Source organism: Homo sapiens, chromosome 8, assembly GCF_000001405.40.
Source record: "Homo sapiens chromosome 8, GRCh38.p14 Primary Assembly".
Lineage (NCBI taxonomy): Eukaryota > Metazoa > Chordata > Mammalia > Primates > Hominidae > Homo > Homo sapiens.
This window is the reverse complement of record NC_000008.11, coordinates 19012171-19031960: the sequence shown is the minus strand read 5'-3', so window position 1 is coordinate 19031960 and position 19790 is coordinate 19012171. Positions and strand designations below refer to the sequence as shown.

General features: G+C 41.8%; 1 protein-coding gene and 1 long non-coding RNA gene across 20 annotated transcripts in view, besides 2 other annotated features; one reads left to right on the top strand and one right to left on the bottom strand.

Moving 5' to 3' along the window:
* Window positions 1-19790, top strand: part of PSD3 (pleckstrin and Sec7 domain containing 3) — a 557503-nt gene that overhangs the window by 52845 nt on the left and 484868 nt on the right. For 14 of the 19 annotated variants that reach the window (NR_182062.1, NM_001412872.1, NM_001412871.1 and 11 more), the window contains exon 1: window positions 18258-18398. The exons of the other annotated variants lie outside the window; for them this stretch is intronic. Coding sequence is in view for 9 of the 14 variants with exons in the window: in NM_001412872.1 (NP_001399801.1) it covers window positions 18371-18398 (28 nt within the window). In the remaining 5 variants the exon portion in view is untranslated. Of the gene's footprint in view, window positions 1-18257; window positions 18399-19790 lie in introns of those variants that run through there. 19 annotated transcript variants of the gene reach the window in all.
* LOC124901898 (uncharacterized) lies at window positions 716-17958 on the bottom strand. Its single transcript, XR_007060840.1, has 2 exons — window positions 17765-17958; window positions 716-968 (listed from the first exon to the last, which is right to left on the bottom strand). It is a non-coding gene; the product is annotated as an uncharacterized LOC124901898 (long non-coding RNA).
* Window positions 18115-18204: a silencer, noted in NCBI's record as "silent region_18968". NCBI's record gives its function as "represses an Ori minimal core promoter by ATAC-STARR-seq in GM12878 lymphoblastoid cells {active_cell/tissue: GM12878}" and the evidence as "EXISTENCE:reporter gene assay evidence [ECO:0000049][PMID:35858748]".
* Window positions 18275-18374: a silencer, noted in NCBI's record as "silent region_18967". NCBI's record gives its function as "represses an Ori minimal core promoter by ATAC-STARR-seq in GM12878 lymphoblastoid cells {active_cell/tissue: GM12878}" and the evidence as "EXISTENCE:reporter gene assay evidence [ECO:0000049][PMID:35858748]".

Below are 19790 nucleotides of genomic sequence, written 5' to 3'. Positions count from 1 at the left end.
GTCTAATTAGGAAATTTTCAAAGTAAAATATTATGATGTTTCTATCCAAACAACTGTATCAGGAAGAGTCTTTAAAAGGGTTTTCTCATCTGTAAACTGAGATTGAGTTAGATAATGTCTAATGCCTCTTTTAGTTCTGTTTTAGTTCAGTTCTATGAGACTAAGTGTTTTGCTCGTGGGTTTATTTTTCTGCCCCTATTTAGTTAACATACATAAACAAATTGATCATCAGAATGTCACCCATTTTCCTCCCAAGTAGCACCCAGCAGCACTATGATGAGTCAAATATAGTTGTTGTTAATGGATTTGCATCCTAAGTCTCCTTATTAGAGAGCCTTTTAGTCCATTTGTTGGGAGGGAAGGGAACACCCTCACCTACATATGTGTTTGATACTTTTTTCAGATTGTTCTTGACTTTGTCATATCAAAAAGCAGAGGTCAGCTCAACAGAAAATATTATAGAAGGACTTTGCATTTACCGTATAGTACTCTGTTCCCTATGTGATTTTTCTCCACAAAGTAGTATGCCAAATGTTATTAAACTGATAAATGCTTTCAAGATACTTGATCCACATTTCTTTGAACAAAATAATTCTCTTCCAGCTTTCAAACGTATAATAAATAATATGCTTATTATTGATACTTGATTGAGTGTAGTTTGTGCTAGGTATTAGTCAACGGAAGTAATCATCCCACTTTAATAGAAACCCTTAAGTTTCAGTACATGAACACAATAGAAATTTATTTCTTGCTTACTTGACAAAATATGTTGGTGAATGTCCTGGTTTTGCTGGACACTGATAATCCTACAGTAGACAGAGAGGAGAATGCAGATGCTGTCTTGCAGATTGTAGGTGCTAGGCATGAAGTGGTATATCGTGCTGCTGGTACATAGTCCATTTGCCAGAACTGGTAGCATAGCCCCACATAGATACAATCAGACTGGGAAATGTAGTCTTCCTTTGTGCCTAGGAGGAAATTGAGATGGTTTGAGAAACACACAGGACTGTTTCTGCTATGATCTTCTATAGCAAGGAGTTACGTTTAGAAATGAGTTGAAGAAGAGGGACTTGAAAGAGAAAGCAGCTTATCCAGGTATATTTTTCATAACCAAAATTAGGATCGCTCTCAAAGGCTGTGACAAAGACCATATTGAATTCCTTGGATGATCTAGAAATGGAGTGGTAGAAGGTTAGAAATTAAGTTGATACGGGGATGGACAGGATAAATGATAATTCATAGATGATAAACGGTAATTAAAAAGAGGTTTAATTGGTTCACAGTTCTGTAGACTGTACAGGAAGCTGGTGCTGGCAGCTGCTTGGCTTCTAGGGAGGCCTCAGGAAGCTTACAATCGTGGTGGAAGGTGAAGGGGGAGAGGACAAGTCACATAGTGAAAGCAAGAGCAAGAGAGAAAGTGTGGTCGGCAGAGGTGCCACACACTTTTAAGTAACCATATCTCATGAGAACTCACTATCAGAAAGACAACACCAAGCCATGGATCATTCACCCCATGATCAAAACACCTCCCACTAGGCCCCACCTTCAATGCTGGGGATTACAATTCAACACGAGATTTGGGTGGGGACAAATATCCAAACTGTATCAGCAGACTAATACAATAGTACATTATGATCAAATAGGGTTTATCTCAAGATGTAAATTTGGTTTAACATTTGAAAACTAATCGTGTAATTCACCAAAATTACAGCATAAAAAAGAAAAATCATATGAGTATCTCAAAAGATGCAGAAACAGGATTTGGCAAAATTCAATACCCATTCATGATAAATAACTTTCAGCAAATTAGGCATGGACAGGAACTTCTTCAACTCGACAAAAGGCATGTACCAAAAGCTAACATTCTCCTTAATAGGGAAAGACTAAATGCTTTTCCCCTAAGATCAGAAACTAAGCAAGGATGTCTGTTCTTATCACTACTATTCCATATTGCATTAAAATTCCTGACCAGTGCAAAAAGGCTCTTTACAGAGAATAAAACTCTTTATTCACAAAAGTCATGATCAGCTATGTAGAAAATCATTATTAAGATTTTAATTTAGAAACTAGTAGAACTAATAAGTGAGTTTAGCAAGGTCACAGAATGCAAGATCGACATACAAAAATAAAATTTATTAGTGAAAATTTTGAAATAATAATTAATGAAATAATCCCATTTACAGTAGCATCAAAAAGCATGAAAATACTTGGGTATAAACTTAAAATATGTGTGATATGGTTTAGCTGTGTCCCCACCCAAATCTCATCTTGAATTGTAGTTCCCTGTGGTAAGAGGAACCCATTGGGAGGTAATTTAGTCATGGAGATGTTCACCCTCATGCTGTTCTCTTGATACTGAGTTCTCACAAGATCTGATGGTTTTATAAGGGGCTTTTCCCACTTTTGCTCTGCCCTTCTCCTTGCTGTCATCATATGAAGAAGGACATGTTTGCTTCCCCTTCCGCCATGATTGTAAGTTTCCTGAGGCCTCCCCAGTCATGCTGAACTGTGATTCAATGAAACCTCTTTCCTTTATAAATCACCCAGTCTCGGGTATGTCTTTATTAGCAGCATGAGAATGGACAAATACAATGTGCAAGTACTATACACTGAAAACTGTAGAACATTGCTTAAATAAATCAAAGGAAATATAAATAAATGGATATAGAGTGTTCATGTTTTAGAAGACAAATTGTTGAGATTTTCAATTCCCTCCAAGCTGACCTACAGATTCAGTGCCATCCCAATTGACATCATACTGGACATTTTTAATGAAACTAATATATTGATTCTCAATTTATTTGGACATACAAAGAACCTAGAGGAGTCAAAACAATTTTTAACTGGAGAACAAATTTAGAATACTTACACTACTTGATCTCAATATTACTATAAAGCTAGTAATGAAGACTTTGCATTATTGTAAGTATAGAGACATAGATCAATGAAATGGAAGAGAGAGTTCAAAAGTAGTTCACATATATAATGGTCAATTGATTTTCAATAAGGTAAATGCAAAAGGATAATCTTTTCAAGAATGGAATTAGAACAACAGGACATCTATCTGGGAAGAGAGGAAACTCCACCCTTAACTCATAGCACATGTGAAGATTAACACATAATGGCTCATAAATGTAAAGATAAGAGCTAAAACTATAACAATTCTAGAAGCAAACATAGAAGAAAATCTTTGTGGCATGACATTAGGGAAAGATATCTCAGGACACAACATAGCACAAACCATAAACAAAAATGGCAGATTGGCTTCATTTAAATTTAAAACATTTGTTCTTCAAAGACACCCAAGAAACTAAATGGCAAGCCAAAGCCAGGGAGAAAACATTTACAAAATACATATCTGATACATAAATTGTATCCAGGATGTATAAAGAATTCTTACAAATCAGTAATAGTATAAAAAATGCATCTTAAAAAATGGGAGTTGGGCACAATGGCTCACATCCATAATCCCAGCGCTTCGGGAAGCCAAGGCAGAAAGATTGCTTGAGCCCAGTGATAGCTTGAGGCTGCAGTGAGTTACAATCACGCCACTGCACTCCAGCCTGGACAACAGAGAGAGACTCCAACTCCAAAAAAAGGTAGATTGGCTTCACAATCTACACAATCTTCACAATCTTCCAACTCCAAAAAAAAAAAAAAAGGGTGGGCCGGGGGGGGGGGGTGGTGTGAGAGGTGGCAAAAGATTGAAACAGGCACTTTATGAAAGAAGACACACAAAGTGAAAATAAGTACATGAAAGGATGGATGCTCAGTATCATTTATCATGAAGATATGCCAGAGAAACTACAATGAAATGCTCAGAAAGCTAAATGTTTTTTTAAAAGTTGACAATACCAAATGTTGGCCACAATATAGAATGCTGGAACTCTCATACATTGCAGATGGGAATGCAACACAGTGTTAATAGCATAGCCACTTTGGAAAACTGGCAGATTTTTTAAAAAGTTAAGTTAAACATGCATTAACCATATGTCCCAGTAATATCACTCCAGGGTATTTATCCAAGAACAAACATGTACACACAAAAAATTAAACATAGATGTTCATAGCATTTTATTTGCAATAGCCAAAACTGGACAGTACTCAAATGTCCATCAACTGGTGAGTGGAAAAACAAATTATGTATCCATACAATGGAACACTGTCCAATAAAGAGGAATGACTAAAGATCCATGTGAAAATATGGATGAATCTCAAAAGCATTATGCTATATGAAAGAGGGCAGAAACAAAAGAGCTCATACCATAGGAATCTATTAATACAGAATTATAAAAAAGACAAAACTACGGAGAGCTAAAACTCTGTCAGCAGTTGCTCTGATCTCAGCATCCACAGGGATGGGATTGCTGACATAGGGGCGTGGAACTTTGCAGGGAGCATGAGGAGGGGGTGAAATATCCTCATTGTAGTGGAACTTACACAGCTCTATACATTTGTCAACTCTCATTGAATTGTACACAAAATTGTTGAGGTTTACACTATAGAAATTATATTTCAATAAAGCTGATTTTGAAGGCAAAAATTTTTCTCTGGGGTTTCTGACTGTGGATTAATACAAATCAAAAAACCAAACAGCTGGGTTCCCAGAACTTACAAGTGAAGTGGCTCAAAAAGCTCCACTCTGTCAGAATTCAGCCCTAGAAATGTGTTACCTCTTGCAGGTAACTCAGCAGTTATGTCCAGAATGAGAGTCTTTTTCTTTTTCTTTTTCTTTTTTGTTTTTTTCCCTTGGAGACCTCTGATCTGACAGAATGAGAGTCTTTAATAGGAAAATTGAGAGAGAGCTGATAGATTTCCTTCCTTTCAGAAACAAATGTACAGAGATTTTCCAATGTAAGGGTTCATAATGCGTGTATTGTGCAATGAGAATTCTATTTGCAGTCCTCTTACCAACTTTGTCGACAATGTTTACAACATTTCTCTCTTTAGAGCCACTGAAATCAAAGAAATTCTTAAACAACATACTATTCTTGCCCAAAATAAGAAGAGAGAATTCTTTCACTCACTCATTCATTCAGTAAACATTTTCCTTTCTTTCTTTGTATATATATATATTTTTGGGTGGGGGGGCAGGCTCTTGCTCTGTGGCCCAGGGCTAGAGTGCAGTGATGTAATCATGGCTCACTGCAGCTTCAAACTCCTGGACTCAAGCGATCCTCACAACTCAGCCTCCCAAGTAGCTGGGACTATAGGTGTGTGCTGCCACAGCCTGGCATTTTTTTTTTTTTTTTTTTTTTTGTAGAGATGTGGTCTTGCTATGTTGCTCAGGCTAGTCTCGAACTCCTGGCCTCAAGCTGTCTTCCCACCTCAGCCTCCCAGAGTGCTGGGATTATAGGCATGAGCCACCACACCTGGTCTCCTTTAGTGAATATTTATTAATTGCCTCCTGCATGATAGGCAATATACCCAGTGCTGGAAACTAAAAGTAAATATATAAATAAAGTGTTGTCTCTGTCTTCTGGAGAGCTCTAACTTCTCTTAGGTTTTTGCATTCACAATTCAGAACACTGAGAGACAGCTTCTGCGATTAGCCCTTGTCACTGAAAACTTACAAAAAAAAACCTCTGAGAGTTATGGAGATAAAGATTGCTTTTAATAAAGCTCTTTAAATCCTAGAATGTTGTAATTTGGCAGTCAAAAAGGCCATCCTTCCTATTCAGAGAAAAGAAATGAAAGCCTAAGAATATGACGGTCCTATGGGATATGGTTTGGCTGTGTCGCCACCCAAACCTCATCTCATCTTGAATTGTAGCTTCCATAATTCCCATATTTTGTGGGAGGGACCCAGTAGGAGGCAATTGAATCATGGGGGCAGGTCTTTCCCTTGCTGTTTTCCTGATAGTGAATAAGCCTCACAATATCTGATGGTTTTATAAAGGGTAGTTCTCCTGCACAGGTGCTCTTGCCTACTACCATGTAAGATGTGACTTTGTTTCTCCTTCGTCTTCTGCCATGATTGTGAGGTCTCCCCAGCCACGTGGAACTGTGAGTCCATTAAACCTCTTTCCTTTATAAATTACCCAGTCTCAGGTATGTCTTTATTGGTAGTGTGGGAACAGACTAACACACCATGGTAAAAGAAAACAGTTTCTCTATTCACACTACACTTCTGACACTAAATGTATGGGTTTTTACCACACCAAGTAATTGTCCAATTCTCTGAAGATGCCAACTGGGAATCCTGAAATTATGACATGATCTACCTGGAATTTGCGTCATACCCGCAAGTTAAAATCCCACAAGACTTTCCCCAATTCAGATGCCAACAGTAAGTCTGGGGTTGCCACCAGTACTTCTGACCAAGTGGCCATAAATCAGAGGTTCCCATTGATACTGGGGGGTAGGAGAGGTAACCCCAAATGATGGCAGGACCTCAACCCTGGCCAGTGCCCAGGCTCTTGACACCTGGACAAGTCAAGGAATTCACCATCAAGAAATTCAAGGACACCGTCAAGAAACTCAAGGACGAGTCAGAAAATAGTGAAAGTCTGGAGCTTTGTGGCAAAGTGAAAAGACACACTCAAGAAAGGGGAGTGTGAGTGTGTGTACTCAAGAGAGTGAGTCATGCCCAACGGGGTTTGGAGTTTCTACCTTTATGGGTTTCTTTAACCAAGGGGTGGATTATTCATGAAGATTTCTAGAAAAAGATAAAGATTTCTCAGAACTGTGGTGTCACCCATGTTTACACCAAATATGGGTGTTCCATGAACTATTATGGCACTAGTGGGTGTGTGATTTAGGGTGTTAATGAGTGTGTAATGAGATCCTAGGTGAAACCTACGCCAAATCCAGCACCATGTTGAGTCTGGTTGGTCTTAGTCAACTTGGCCCTCATCCTGCTTTTCAGGGTCTTATTGGTCCCTAGTATATGCAGCTCTTTCAACAGCTCCTTTTTGCTAGTCATGAGACTGCTGCTTGGAATTTTCTGTTCTGCTATGACTATCCTGTCTCACTGTGACCCCTTTCTCAGGATTGATAATTTACTAGAATAGCTCACAGAACTGAGGCTCACAGACACTTTACTTATGTTTACTGGTTTATTATAAAAGCTACAACTCGGGAACAGCCAAATGAAAGGAATGCATAGGACAGGGGACTGGGGATGCTTCAGGGTTTTCATGCCCTCTCTGGGCACACCACTCTCCCAGCACCTCAATGAATTCATCAACTCCTAAGCTCATAAGTCTCCCAGTTCAAGACCTTCTATAGAGCTTAATCTCCAGACCCCCTCTCCCCTTCCTGGAGGTCGGTTGTGTGGCTGAAAGTTCTACCCCTCTAATCATGTCGTCTTTCTGATAACCAACTCCATCCTTGGGCAGTCTAGGGGCTCCATCCTAAGTCACCTCATTAACATAAGCTCAGGTGTCATCGTAAGTGGCTTCTTTATGAATAAAAAATGAAGGACTCAGGAAATTCCAAGGGTTTTAGAAACCAGGACAAAGACCAAATATATTTTGTTTTATCCCACACAGTTAGACAATGAGTTAGTGGGACCCCTTCTGTCTTCTGACTCTGATTCAACATTTCAGAGGCCCCTGGCATGGTCTTCATTATCTCCCTTCATCACTCCCTGCAGAGCAGCAGTGTCTCTAAGCCCTGCTGTCCTCTTGGAGACATTCCAGGGTACTTTTACAATCTAAAAACATGCAAGCATAGGTAATTTCCACAGGTTATACGTGAAATAACGTATCTTTGGGAAAAAAGATTATAAGTGAAATGCTTAGTTCAGCAAAGGAATGTTTTCTATGGAATCCCCCTTTGATAGAAATATTGCTTTTGAAAACATTTTATTATTGGAATAATTTGGAAAAAGTGATTTATTTGTGCTCCGAGGGAAATGGGGACTTTCTTCTCAAATGTTTACAGGAATTATTTTGATAATAAAGCATTTTCTGATTGGGAGGATGCAGATAATTTTTCAGGCATGAAACAGAAAAGCAGCTGCAGCTATGTACTTAGGAAAAGGTTTGGTTTTTGTTTTTAATGGTCAAGTCAGTACAGTACAGTGCATAGTGCTGTGCTAAAAAGCTTTACACTCACAGAAAATTAAATCAGGGCAATCATGTATGTGATACCTTGGGACCAAACTTTCATTTGTCGTTTATCCGGTGTATCCTATGTGCCAAAGACTGTGAAGCAGTGCTGTCAATAGAATTCTTTGTATTCATGGAAACGTTCTAGAGCTGCAATGTCTAAATACAGTAGCCATTCTCAGTGGCTCATGCCTGGAATCCTAACTCTTTAGGAGGCTGAGACTGGAGGATCACTTGAGGCCGGGAGTTCCAGACCAGCCTGGGCAACATAGTGAGAACCTTTATCTACAAAAAAATTAAAATAATATTCAGTGGGGTGCGGTAATGCATGTCTGTAGTCTCCAGCTACTCAGGAGGCTGAGGTGGGAGGATTGCTTGAGTCCACAGGAGGTCAAGGCTGCAGTGATCTATGACTGCACCACAGCCCTACAGCCTGGGTGACAGAGCAAGACCCTGTCTCTAAAGAAATAATAAATAAATAAATAAATAAATAAATAAATAAATAAATAAATAGTGGCTATATTCAGTAGCCACTAACTACCTATGGCTACTGAACACTTGAAATACGGCTAGTGAGACTGAGAAATGAATTTTAAGTTTAATTTTCTTTCAATCCATTTAAATTTGGCTGGCCACGTAGTCTACTAGCTATGGAATTAGACAGCATAGCTGTGAGAAATAGGAAATACAAAGTGCCTGAATATTCACAATGTGGTTGTAAATGATTGAGCTAGATGTGGATGGAGGATTGTTTCCAGCAATATCTATCCACAAAGGACATCTCTCCCATCTTTCAGAATTATTACCTTCAAATATAAGACTCTATGATGGAGGTGATTAACTTGATATCCTATGAGCACATATATCTACAGTGAGTAAACAAAATGCTATGACTCTTTCAAGCTAAGAAGTATGAGAAGATGGTAGAGTGGGACCCCTTCTGTCTTGGGTGCTACTGAGGTGACAGTGTAATACACAGCAAAGTACGTCCAAGTGGATTTGGGACAACATCTACCCCATGCACAGATTAAAAAAAAAAAAAGGGTCCTGAGACTTTGTTCTACAATCTTGGATCCCTTGTCAGTCAAATCAAAACTATAAAAATAAGTGCTAATGAGAGAAGAACATGAGGAGATGGTGATGACAGCTGTTGCCTGGCTCTACTCTCCACTGGAAGAGAGCTGGGTGCTACTCTCCAGCCCCAAGCCTAGTAAAAGGAGTTCAAAGAGACCTGTTGGAGAAATCCCAAATGGTTCCTGGAAAACACTGAAGATGGTGGCCTCGCTCATGCTCCAGAAAACCAATGGAGGTTGCTTCTTCCCACGAAACCTAGAGTGAGAGGGTTGACCAACCGCTTTGGGATAGGGACTAGGGAAGCCCTTGCTATGTGGATGGGATCAGCCCACACTCCCAGAGTTGCTGAGGCAAGGGGCATGTGTGAGTGTCTCTTGTGGAAGAGATGTGGGCCACATGCAATAGAGTTGGCATGGAGTCTATCTTCTTGGGGTCCACCCAGTAGGGTGGGTGAGAGAGGGCAAGGCTCAGCAGGAAGAAATGTTCCAGTGGGTACATAGGACTGAGGAACTGGAATAGAGGACCCCACTTAATATGGTTTGGATGTTTGTCCCCTCCAAATCTCATGTTGAAATGTGATTCCCAATGTCAGAGGTGTGGCCTGGTGGGAGGTGATTGAATCATGGGGACAGATCCCTCATGGATGGCTTAGCACTATCCTCCTGGTGATAAGTGAGTTCTTGCTCTGAGTTCACATGAGATCTGGTTGTTTTAAAAAGTGGGGTACCTCCCCCCAACCCTTCTCCTGCTCTCACAATGTGACATGCCTGTCCCTGCTTCACCTTCTGCAATAGTTATAAGCTTCCTGAGTCTCGCCAGAAGCTGAGCAGATGTTGGTGCTCTGCTTATACAGCTTGCAGAACCTTGATCCAATTAAACCTCTTTTCTTTATAAAGTAACTAGTCTCAGGTATTCCTTTATAGTAACACAAATAGATTAATATATCATCCACCCTCCCTTTCACAACTGCACTCTTCCAGTTGAAGCAGAGGAGAAGATTTAATGCTAAGTCAAGTTTAGACTAAGGACTGCATAGTTTAATTATTGAATTGACACTATGCTTAGAGGACCTACAAGTAAGCTGAATAACTGGGCCTGCAAAGTTTTTACATAATGCCAGGGGAAAGTTTCTCCCACTGAATAAAAGGATCACAGCAGATAGTTTTGGTCAACCAGGAATGGAACTTATTCAAAATCCTGGTTATGATACTTACATGGATTTCATTAGATTTTCTCTTTACAATTCCAAGAAGCTATGGGTTTTTTTTTTTTTTGTAACAAAAAAGCAAATAAAATATAAATCAATTTCTGTCAGCTTGGAAACCTGTATATTGACCAAATCTGTCTTTTTAGTTAATTCCAGACGTCATTATTTATGCAAAAAAAAAATTGGGAGTGAGTATTAGTAACACCGGGTTGGGCATAAAACATAGCTTGAGACAAACTGAGATTGCTAGAATTACAGGCATATAGCACTATCTCTTTCATTCTTCCTGAAAATAATAGAACAGTTTTGGTAAAAAGAGAAGTGATGATTGCAGGAGGTAGGGAGAGAGCAGAACGCAGACACTGCTGATTGAAAACTGTAGAAAGGAAAAGGTTTCATGTAAAAATAATCTGAACATATTCCATTAAAGAACATTCTTTTGTTTTCCTCCTACTTCACTGACTGCTCGTTTCAGATTCCTCTGCATGTTCTTACTCATCTCCCTAATTTCTGAGCATTGGAGTGCATTAGGCTCTCCTCTTTTCTCTTTACCATCCACTCCTTTGGTGATCTCATTCAGTTTCATGGATGTAAATATCATCTCTGTTACAGCTCCCACTCCTACCTGTCCCCTGAATTCTGGTTTTGTATATCCAGTGGCTTGCCTGGCACTCCTCTGCTGAATGTTGAAAAGTTAACTCTAACTTAACATGTCCAAAAATTACAGCCTGATCTCCCATCCTAAATCTTGTTACTTCCACAGTCTTCCCCAGTTAGTTAATGTAACTCCATTTTTCTGGTAGTTCAGTCCCAAACCCTTGAGTCATCTTTGACTCTCTTTTATAATGTACATTCATGCATCAGCAAATTCTGTGAGCTCAATCTTCAAAATATGACCAGAATCTCAACATTTCTTACCTCCTTCTTTGCCACCACCCTGGCCCAAGCCACCATCATCTCCTGCTTGAATTGTTGTAGTAGCCTCCTAATTTACCTCCTTGCTTCCAATACATAATACCGGGTGATTCTGGCAAAATCTAAGTCGATCATCCTACCCCTCTGCTCAAAATCTACCAAGGGCAGTTAAGGGTCTTTACAACAACCTATAAGGTCCCACTTACGACATCTCTGAATACCTTTCACCTGGCTCACTCAGCCCTAGGCACACTGACCCCTTGCTGTGCTCAAAACACGCCAGGCAAGACCTCAGGGCCTTTGCACTTATAGTTACATATTTGCATGGCTTTCCCCCTCACCTCCTTTAGGTGTTTACTCAAATTTCACCTCTCAGTGAAGTCTTCTCTCAATATCCTTTGCAATCATCTACTCTCCTGACGCTGTACTGCTTATGCCTTATCCCTTTCCTTGTTTTGTTTTTCTCCAAGACACTCAGCATCATATAACATCACATATATTTACTTATCTTGCTTATTTTCTGTCTTCCCAAGCTCCATGAGGGAAGGGATGCTTTGTGCTCCGCTAGAGTCAGTAAACTATACCTAGCACATGGTAGATGTTGGATAAATATTTGTCACATGAATGAATGAAAGAATAACTACCCATAAGAAGGATAATAAAAAATAAACTGAACCTTTATTATAGAGACTTAACCTCAGTTATTCGGGTCTTGGGGGAAAGGTGAGCTGAGTCTACCCTATGCCCCGGACCACCCTCTGGTCTAACATTTCTTGTGCACTTACTATACTCCCTCCTCAGTTTTCCTCTTTTCTCCATTCTCTTCCGACCCCTAAGGACATGAACCACATTTCTGCTCTTTCCTTCTTGTCTCCCATCCCTCTCACCCACCCAGCATACACTCAGCATTCAGTCGAGTCCCACCAGGCAAGTACCGTGGTGAATTTTGTGTCAGACGTATTCTCTCAGCTTCATCTTGAGCTTTTGAAATCCAAGCATATCATGATTTTAGGTATGTTGACTATTTCTGCATTGGGTAGTGGCAAATTTTAATTGAAAAATTTTTTTGTTGAGCCTCGACTACAGACCAGGCACAGTTCTGGAAGCTAGGAATACAATAACAAATAAATAAGACTGGCACTTATGTTCTGTATTCTAATATATCAGTGGTTTGTATGCAGTTATTATATGATCTATAAGGCATCCTATCTGTGCACTTAAGCAGTTGTAGGCAGCCCGCTTATTGAAAATACTGTAGAGGTTAGAGTTGCTTATGTATTTAAAATAAAAACCCTTTCCTTTAAATGCATATTTTAAGACTCTTGGATTGCTTGAGAATTGATAATAAAGAGGAGTGAGCCATAGATCACAATGGAAAAATACTTAGTTTTTTTCTTTTTTGACGTGCAATGACTCACATCTGTGAAATGGCAAAACTCATAATAGAGATAAAAAAAAATGAGTTGATGAGTTTTAAGTTTAAAGCATTAACCTGAAGCCTGGGGAACTCATCTGTTTTCATGATTCCTTCCATCTCTGTTTTTTTTGCTTGGCATTTATTTCCAGAGCTAAGTAAATTACCTAAGCTTTCACCAGGAATAAGAAACTTATCTTCTGGCTGGGCGCAGTGGCTCACGCTTGTAATCCCAGCCTTTTGGGAGACCGAGGTGGGCAGATCATAAGGTCAGGAGATCAAGACTATCCTGTCCAACATGGTGAAACACCATCTCTACTGAAAATATCAAAATTAGCCTGGTGTGGCTGTGTGCGCCTGTAGTCCCAGCTACTCAGGAGGCTGAGGCAGAAGAACTGCTTGAACACGGGAGGCGGAGGCTGCAGTGAGCTGAGATTGAGCCACTGCACTCCAGACTGGGCGACAGAGCAAGACTCTGTCTCAAAACAGAAAAGAAACTTATCTTCTGACTCTCATGAGGATAGACTTGGGTAGTCAAATTTTTGATGTTCAGACACACTTGATTCAAGAAAAAGTATTTTCTCTGGTTTTGGATCAACACCTCTATCTTTAATGCCCAAACAAATTCCAAGTGGCTCTCCACCTCTACCTTTTGCAAGATGTTCTCAGCTTCAGATTTATTAGCGCATGCGTGCTTTCATGTACACACACATCTACATATCTCTTAAGCTTTCAGTCTAAAACAATGAATTGACTATTGGAACATTTCTCTTGATTCAAAATTATATGTTTTTTCTTTTATTGAAGTAAAATTTATATACGAGCAATGCACAGCTTTTAAGTGTAAAATTCTATGAGTTTTGACAAATGTAACATCACCCAAATAGAACACCTGCATCACCTTAGGAAGATCCCTTATGCCTCATTTTTTTTTTTTAAAAAGAGCATTTAATATTAATCATTGCATAAAAAATGAAATGCCTTGAAATCCTACAGTTATATATGAAAGAAACTTGAGAGGTCTTCCAAAATTTGAAAACATATTAAAAGTGTAAATGTTATTATCAGTAATAAATGCGAGGGTGGGATTTTCCTAAATTGTCAATAATAAAATTGTGATCAACCATGCTAGAGAAAAGACTGGGCTATCTATTCAACCCATAGAAAATGTCACACAATCAATCTACCACTTCACACCCACTAAGATGGCTGTAATCAAACACAAAAACAATAATGAGTGTGGGTGAGGATGTGGAGAAATTAGAACCTTCATACATTGCTCTGGTAGGAATGTAGAGTGGTGCGGCCACTGTGGAAAACAGATTGGAAATAAAGTTATACAGTCACGATATAACCCACAATTTCTACTCTAGGTAGAATGGAAAAGAGAAATGGAAACATAACAGCTACATGAAAACTTGTACATAAATTTTTATAGTAGTGTTATTCCTAACAGCCAAAAAGTAGAAACAACTGAAATGTCCATGAACTCATAAATGGATCAATAAAATGTGGCCTATCCACACAATGGAATATTATTTAGCAATAAAAAATGAAGTTCTGATATATGCTACAATATGGATGAGCATTGAAAACATTATGATAAGTGCAAGAAGCCAGTCACAAAGACCACATATTTTATGATTCCATTTATATGAAATGTCCAGAATAGGCAAATCTGTAGAAACAGAAAGTAAATTAGTGTTTGCCAGGGACTGAGGGGTTTGGAGGGAAAAGAGGAGCGACCGCCAATGGGGATAGGGTTTCTTTAGGGGATGATGAAAAGTTTCCAGAGTTGACTGTGGTGATGATTGCACAAATCTGTGAATATAGTAAACACATTGATTTGTACTCTTTAAATGGGTGAGTTGTGTGGTATGTGAATTGGATCTTGATAAAGCTGTTTTAAAAAAATCTTTCCAATGAGATTATCAAGAGTATGTAGCCAGGCTGGGCACGGTCACTCATGCCTGTAATCCCAACACTTTGGGAGGCTGAGGCAGAAGGACTGTTTGAGGCCAGGAGTTGGACACTAGCCTAGCCATATAGGGAGACCCCATCTTAAATAAATGTAAAGTTAGCTGGGTCTGGTGGTGTGTGCCTGTAGTCCCAGATACTTGGGTGGCTGAGGTGGGAGGATTACTTGAGTCTGGGAGGTAGAGGCTGCAGTGAGCTGTGATTGCACCACTGTACTCCAGCCTGGTCAATGGAGTGAGATACTGTCTCAAAAAAAAAAAAAAAAAAAAGTATGTAGCCAAAATACTTGAGGAAAAAGTATTGCTATGGCTTGAATGTCCCTGCCAACATTCATGTTGAAATTTAATTGCCATTGTAATAGGACTAAGAGGTGGGGCCTTTAAGAGGTGATTGGGTCATAAGGGCTCTGCTCTCATGAATGCTGTTATTAAGAGAGTGAGTCAGTTATCTAGAGAATGGGCTTCTGACAAAAGGATAAGTTTGGACCCCATTTGCTTCCCGTCTCTTGTGCTTGCTTGCTATGTGATGCTTTCCACCATGGAACCACCCTCACCATGTGCTGTTGCTGTGCTCTTGGACTTCCAGCCTCCAGAACTGTGAGAGATTCATTTCTTTTCTTTATTAATTACCTAGTCTGTGGTATTCTCTTATAGCAGCAGAAAACAGGTGAAGACAAATATTACTGAAGTGTTTTAGGAAGTTTATTACTACAAAATATTATGTAGGTGGTAGATAAAACTATTGTGTGATTTTTCTGGATTTGGTAATGTTTGTGGGATTTGTCAACTCTTAGAAATTTGTATTTGAGATTTTTGTCATTCTAAATAAACGTTCATGTTGTACTAAAAAATAAATATTCAATAATCTGGGCTTTTCAGTGACCTTCAGAAATAGGAAGGATTAACTGTATGCATGAATAATACATGATGGAATTTCATCTTCCTTTTCTTCTTTTGACCTGCAGTATATAATGTCTTGCCTACTATATAGTCTCTCCACACCACATACATTAGGGCTCATGGGAAGAGGTGGGGGAGGAATATGTTATTGGATAAATATACACTAGCCCATGCCTAGGTGGTCTGCGTGCCTCCTTTCTTTTTTTACCAAGGCGGGTGCTTGTGTATTCTGACACTGAACTTGAGCACTGGGGGCTATGGTAGCAGAAATGGGGATTCTTACTTCATTTTTAATATTTCCAAAAGCCTAACAAAATATTTACACACAAAATACATGCTGGCAAAAATGAAATGTCAATGTTTATTTGATTTGCTTTAGGCTTCATTGACTTAGTAGTGGTAACACTGGCTAATTTATGCTGATCAGAACCTCTAACCATTTTATCTTTGATTATTTATAACTGGACGAATGAATGATTATTTAATAGATGTGATCAGCTTTATAAGTACAATCTTAAAATATTTTGGCTTCAGGGATAAAACCAATTAAAAATTTCCTTTGCGATGGAAATTGGAAACACATTTCTGTGGCTTCACTTATGAAATGCTCCTCTATTGAACATTCACTATAGGCCAGGAGCTTTCCTTAATTTATCATGCTAATAACACTTCTGTATGGCATTATTAACCCAATTTTATAAATGAGGAAACAGAGGCTCAGATTATAGATGTCTATGCCCAAGTCCCTTAACTAGAAATATCAAGTAAATCTATGTCCACCCTGCCTCCTATATGATTACTTTTTTTTGTTTGTTTATGAGTTGGTTAATTTCCCAGGTAAAGGCCAGTAGGCCAGTGGTCAAGCCTCAGGGTAGCAACTACATTTTGTACTGGGTCTTACTTTTGATGCTTTGCCAACAAAACCGTCAAGGAAGGCAGGAGTTGACTGGGAATAGGCACACTGGGACTGTCTCTGTAGGGTATGTACGCAAGGGTAAAGGGAGATCACAAACGAGAAATATGCCTGTATTCGTCCATTTTCACACTGCTGATAAAGACACACCGGAGACTGGGCAGTTTACAAATGAAAGAGGTTTATTGGACTTGCAGTTCCACATGGTTGGGAGGCCTCACAATCATGGCGTAAAGCAAGGAGGAGCATGTCACATCTTAAGCGGATGGCAGTAGGCCAAGAGAGAGCTTGTGCAACAAGCGCTCCCATTTTTAAAATCTTCAGATCTCGTGAGACTCATTCACTATGACGAGAACAGCCCAGGAAAGACCCGCCCCCATAATTCAATCACCTCCCACAAGGTTCCTCCCACACACCTGGGAACTGCGGGACTTACAATTCAAGATGAGATTTGGGTGGGGATACAGCCAAACCATATCAATGCCCAAGTGACTGGGGTGCTTCCAAACCTACACAGCTGCTCACACTGCTGCTCTGGCAGGGGGAGCATGAGCTGCGGACGTTTTTCTGAAGTTGGAGTGAATTTGTATAAAGGCATACACTCCCTCATGCTGGCTCCTCTGGTGGGTGTCCAAGGCTTCCTTTGATAGATGCAGATGGGGCAGCCAAGGCAAAGTAGGTGACTTATGTGGCCTTGGTGCATCTCAGCTATGCTCACCGGGCAGCCCATGCTGACATGGTGGGCGAGATCGTGGGGCCACCAGGGAACCTGACTCCACTCCCATCTCTAAGCTTGGCCAAGTCAGTCACTTCTCGTTATTGGGGCGTCTTCTACCTGTCACTTGAAAAAGACTGTTCTTTGGAACAATAAGGCGGTAACACATACACAGGACCACCCTGTAGCCGGCCACACAGGTTCCGCCTCCAGGTGCTTGGATCTACTTAACGGACCTCCCAGGGGGAAAGATTTGCGGTCTCTCCGTCCCTCTACCAGGGGAGGGCGCCGTTCCAGCCCTTGCCTCTGCGGCACAGATCAAAGGACGGAGGAAAAAAGGTGCGGGTCCGGGGCACTAATGTTCGAAAATGCAGTTTTAAGTGACCTCTCCCCGCGCACGCACTGTCGGTGGGGGCAGTCCCGAGGCCAGGCTGCGGGGCGCCTGGGGGGACTCGCCTCAGGGGGAAATGGCCCTTTCAGGGCTCGACGGGTCCCCGGGACTAAACGCTCCGGCCGCGGATCGGTGCCGGGGGAGCCCGGTCAGAGAGGCCGGGACCCCGAGGGACGCCTAGGTGCGTGTCCCGAAGCCCGCGTACCTCCAGCCCCGGCGAGACGGCGCCCAACTCGCGGCTCCAGTCACACGGCCCTTCCTGAGAGGAAACACCAGGGAAAGCACCTCTCACTTTTCTCAGGGTGGGAAAACTGTGAAGGAAGAAGACAAAGCAACAGGCAGGTTTTCGCTCGCGGGCTGGAGGCTGGGCCCAGGGCGGGCGCGCGGCTGCGGGAGGCAGCGGACGGTCCGGGCCGCTCGAGGGCTGCACTGCGAGGGTCTGGATCGCCTCCAGCCTCCCCCGGAGGCCCCGCCCCTGCCCTGGAGACCCCGCCCCCGCCTCGGAGGCCCAGCCACCTCCCCCCTCCCCGAGGCGTCGGCCCCGCCTCTCCGCCCTCCGCCCTCCGCCCCCGGGGCCCGCCACCGCCGGCCCGCCTGCGCCGCCTTCGCTTTGACGTTACTGGGGGCCGGGCGGGCGGCTGCCGCGGGCTCGCAGCCTCGCCAGCCTCCGCCAGGGTGCGCGCGGGCCGCCGCCTCTCGGCAGTCCCGGGAGCTCAACAAAGAGCACGCGGCGCTGGCCGCCGGCACTCGCGCCCTGAGGCTGCGGCCCCGGAGCGCCCGGCGGCGGTTTCGGCGCGCGGCCGGGCTGGCGATGGAAGATGGAAGGAAGGAGCGCAGCGGTGAGCTCCGGGGCCGGGGCGCGGGCGCGGGGTGCGCACGCGGCGCCGCTGTTCGACGTGGGGTTTGTGTTGCTTTGTCGCCGCTCTGTCCCCCAGGATCCCGGGGCCACCTGGGTTTGTGCTGTCTGGATAGGTGCAGGGTGCGATTTTTCTCTTCGCGCTTGCTTGCTTTGTGTTTTTTAGGAGCCCAGCAGGGTCAACTTTGTGGTGTTAAGGTTTAGGGGTTTTAGTTCATACCTCGGCTTTGAAAACCTCAGACTTTGGAGAAAAGCTATCAAAAGAAGGCAACATGAAAGAGGACCTCGTATGCCGATCTTTCTTTGCCCGGTCAGCTTGTATTTAGGGACTATCACGTTTCTGTCAGAAAGAAAGAAAAAAAGACTAAACTAAACAAACTTGAATTGAGCGAGCAAACGGACAAGGGAAGATTATTCGGTGCAATTCCCAGGAGCTTTTACAGATGTTTAAGTCATTCTGTTTTACATGCATTTAACTTTATCCGCCGTTTTCAGCTTTCCGTTCTGGCGAATGATGTTCTGAATTTTTTTTTTAAACACATTAACACCGATTAGAGGACGTGGGTTTAGAATGTTGTTGGTGACCTAAATAATAAATGTTTCGTTTTGCCATTCCCCTCGATGTCAAAGGATGTTAAACGCCCACTAGGCAGAGGATGGAATGGGCACCACGATTTCATTTTCTAGACACTGGTTCTCCCGATAGCGGGATCCAGGATTTCCGCTCCAGAATAACTCTTGAGTGGGTCCAGGTGTTGGTGTAGGGAAGACGGAGATCTGGAAAATTACTGTAAGTGGGATTCTGGCAACAAATGCCTCAATGCGTTCGTTGTAATTGAGTATGTGCAAAGGATTTTGCAAAGCCCGGTAGCTAGGTAAGTAGGATAGGATTTCTGCTTTCAAGAAGCGTGCTTGAGAGCTTGCCTGGGAGAGACTTATGCGTAGGCTACCATGGAGGATCTCAGAGGAAGCTTCTGGCCTCCGGGCTTGGAAGTTCTCAGAGAGGAGCTGGCAGTTATGCTGGACCTTGAAAGGGAGGGGTTGATTGGATTTTTGTGAGATGTGAGGGAAAGGATGTCCCCTGCTAAAGGAAAGGGAATTCACTTTCTACCCTTTTCCAAGAAATGATCCTTTCTTTTCTGAGAGTATTTACAAACCAAGAGGTTTTCTTTTCAAAAAGTCATGAAATTCCTCTTCAGCAGTTAAAAGTGCAACATGCTCAACATCACCAGTTAAGCAAATGCAAAATAAATTAGCACCTTTTCAACCAGTTTTTAGTGGCTGGCTGGATGTCCTTCCACAACCTTTTTATATCCATCCACAAGTGATTTGTCTTGTAAGATATTTCATTAATAGAAGCTTTTTGTACTAAAAG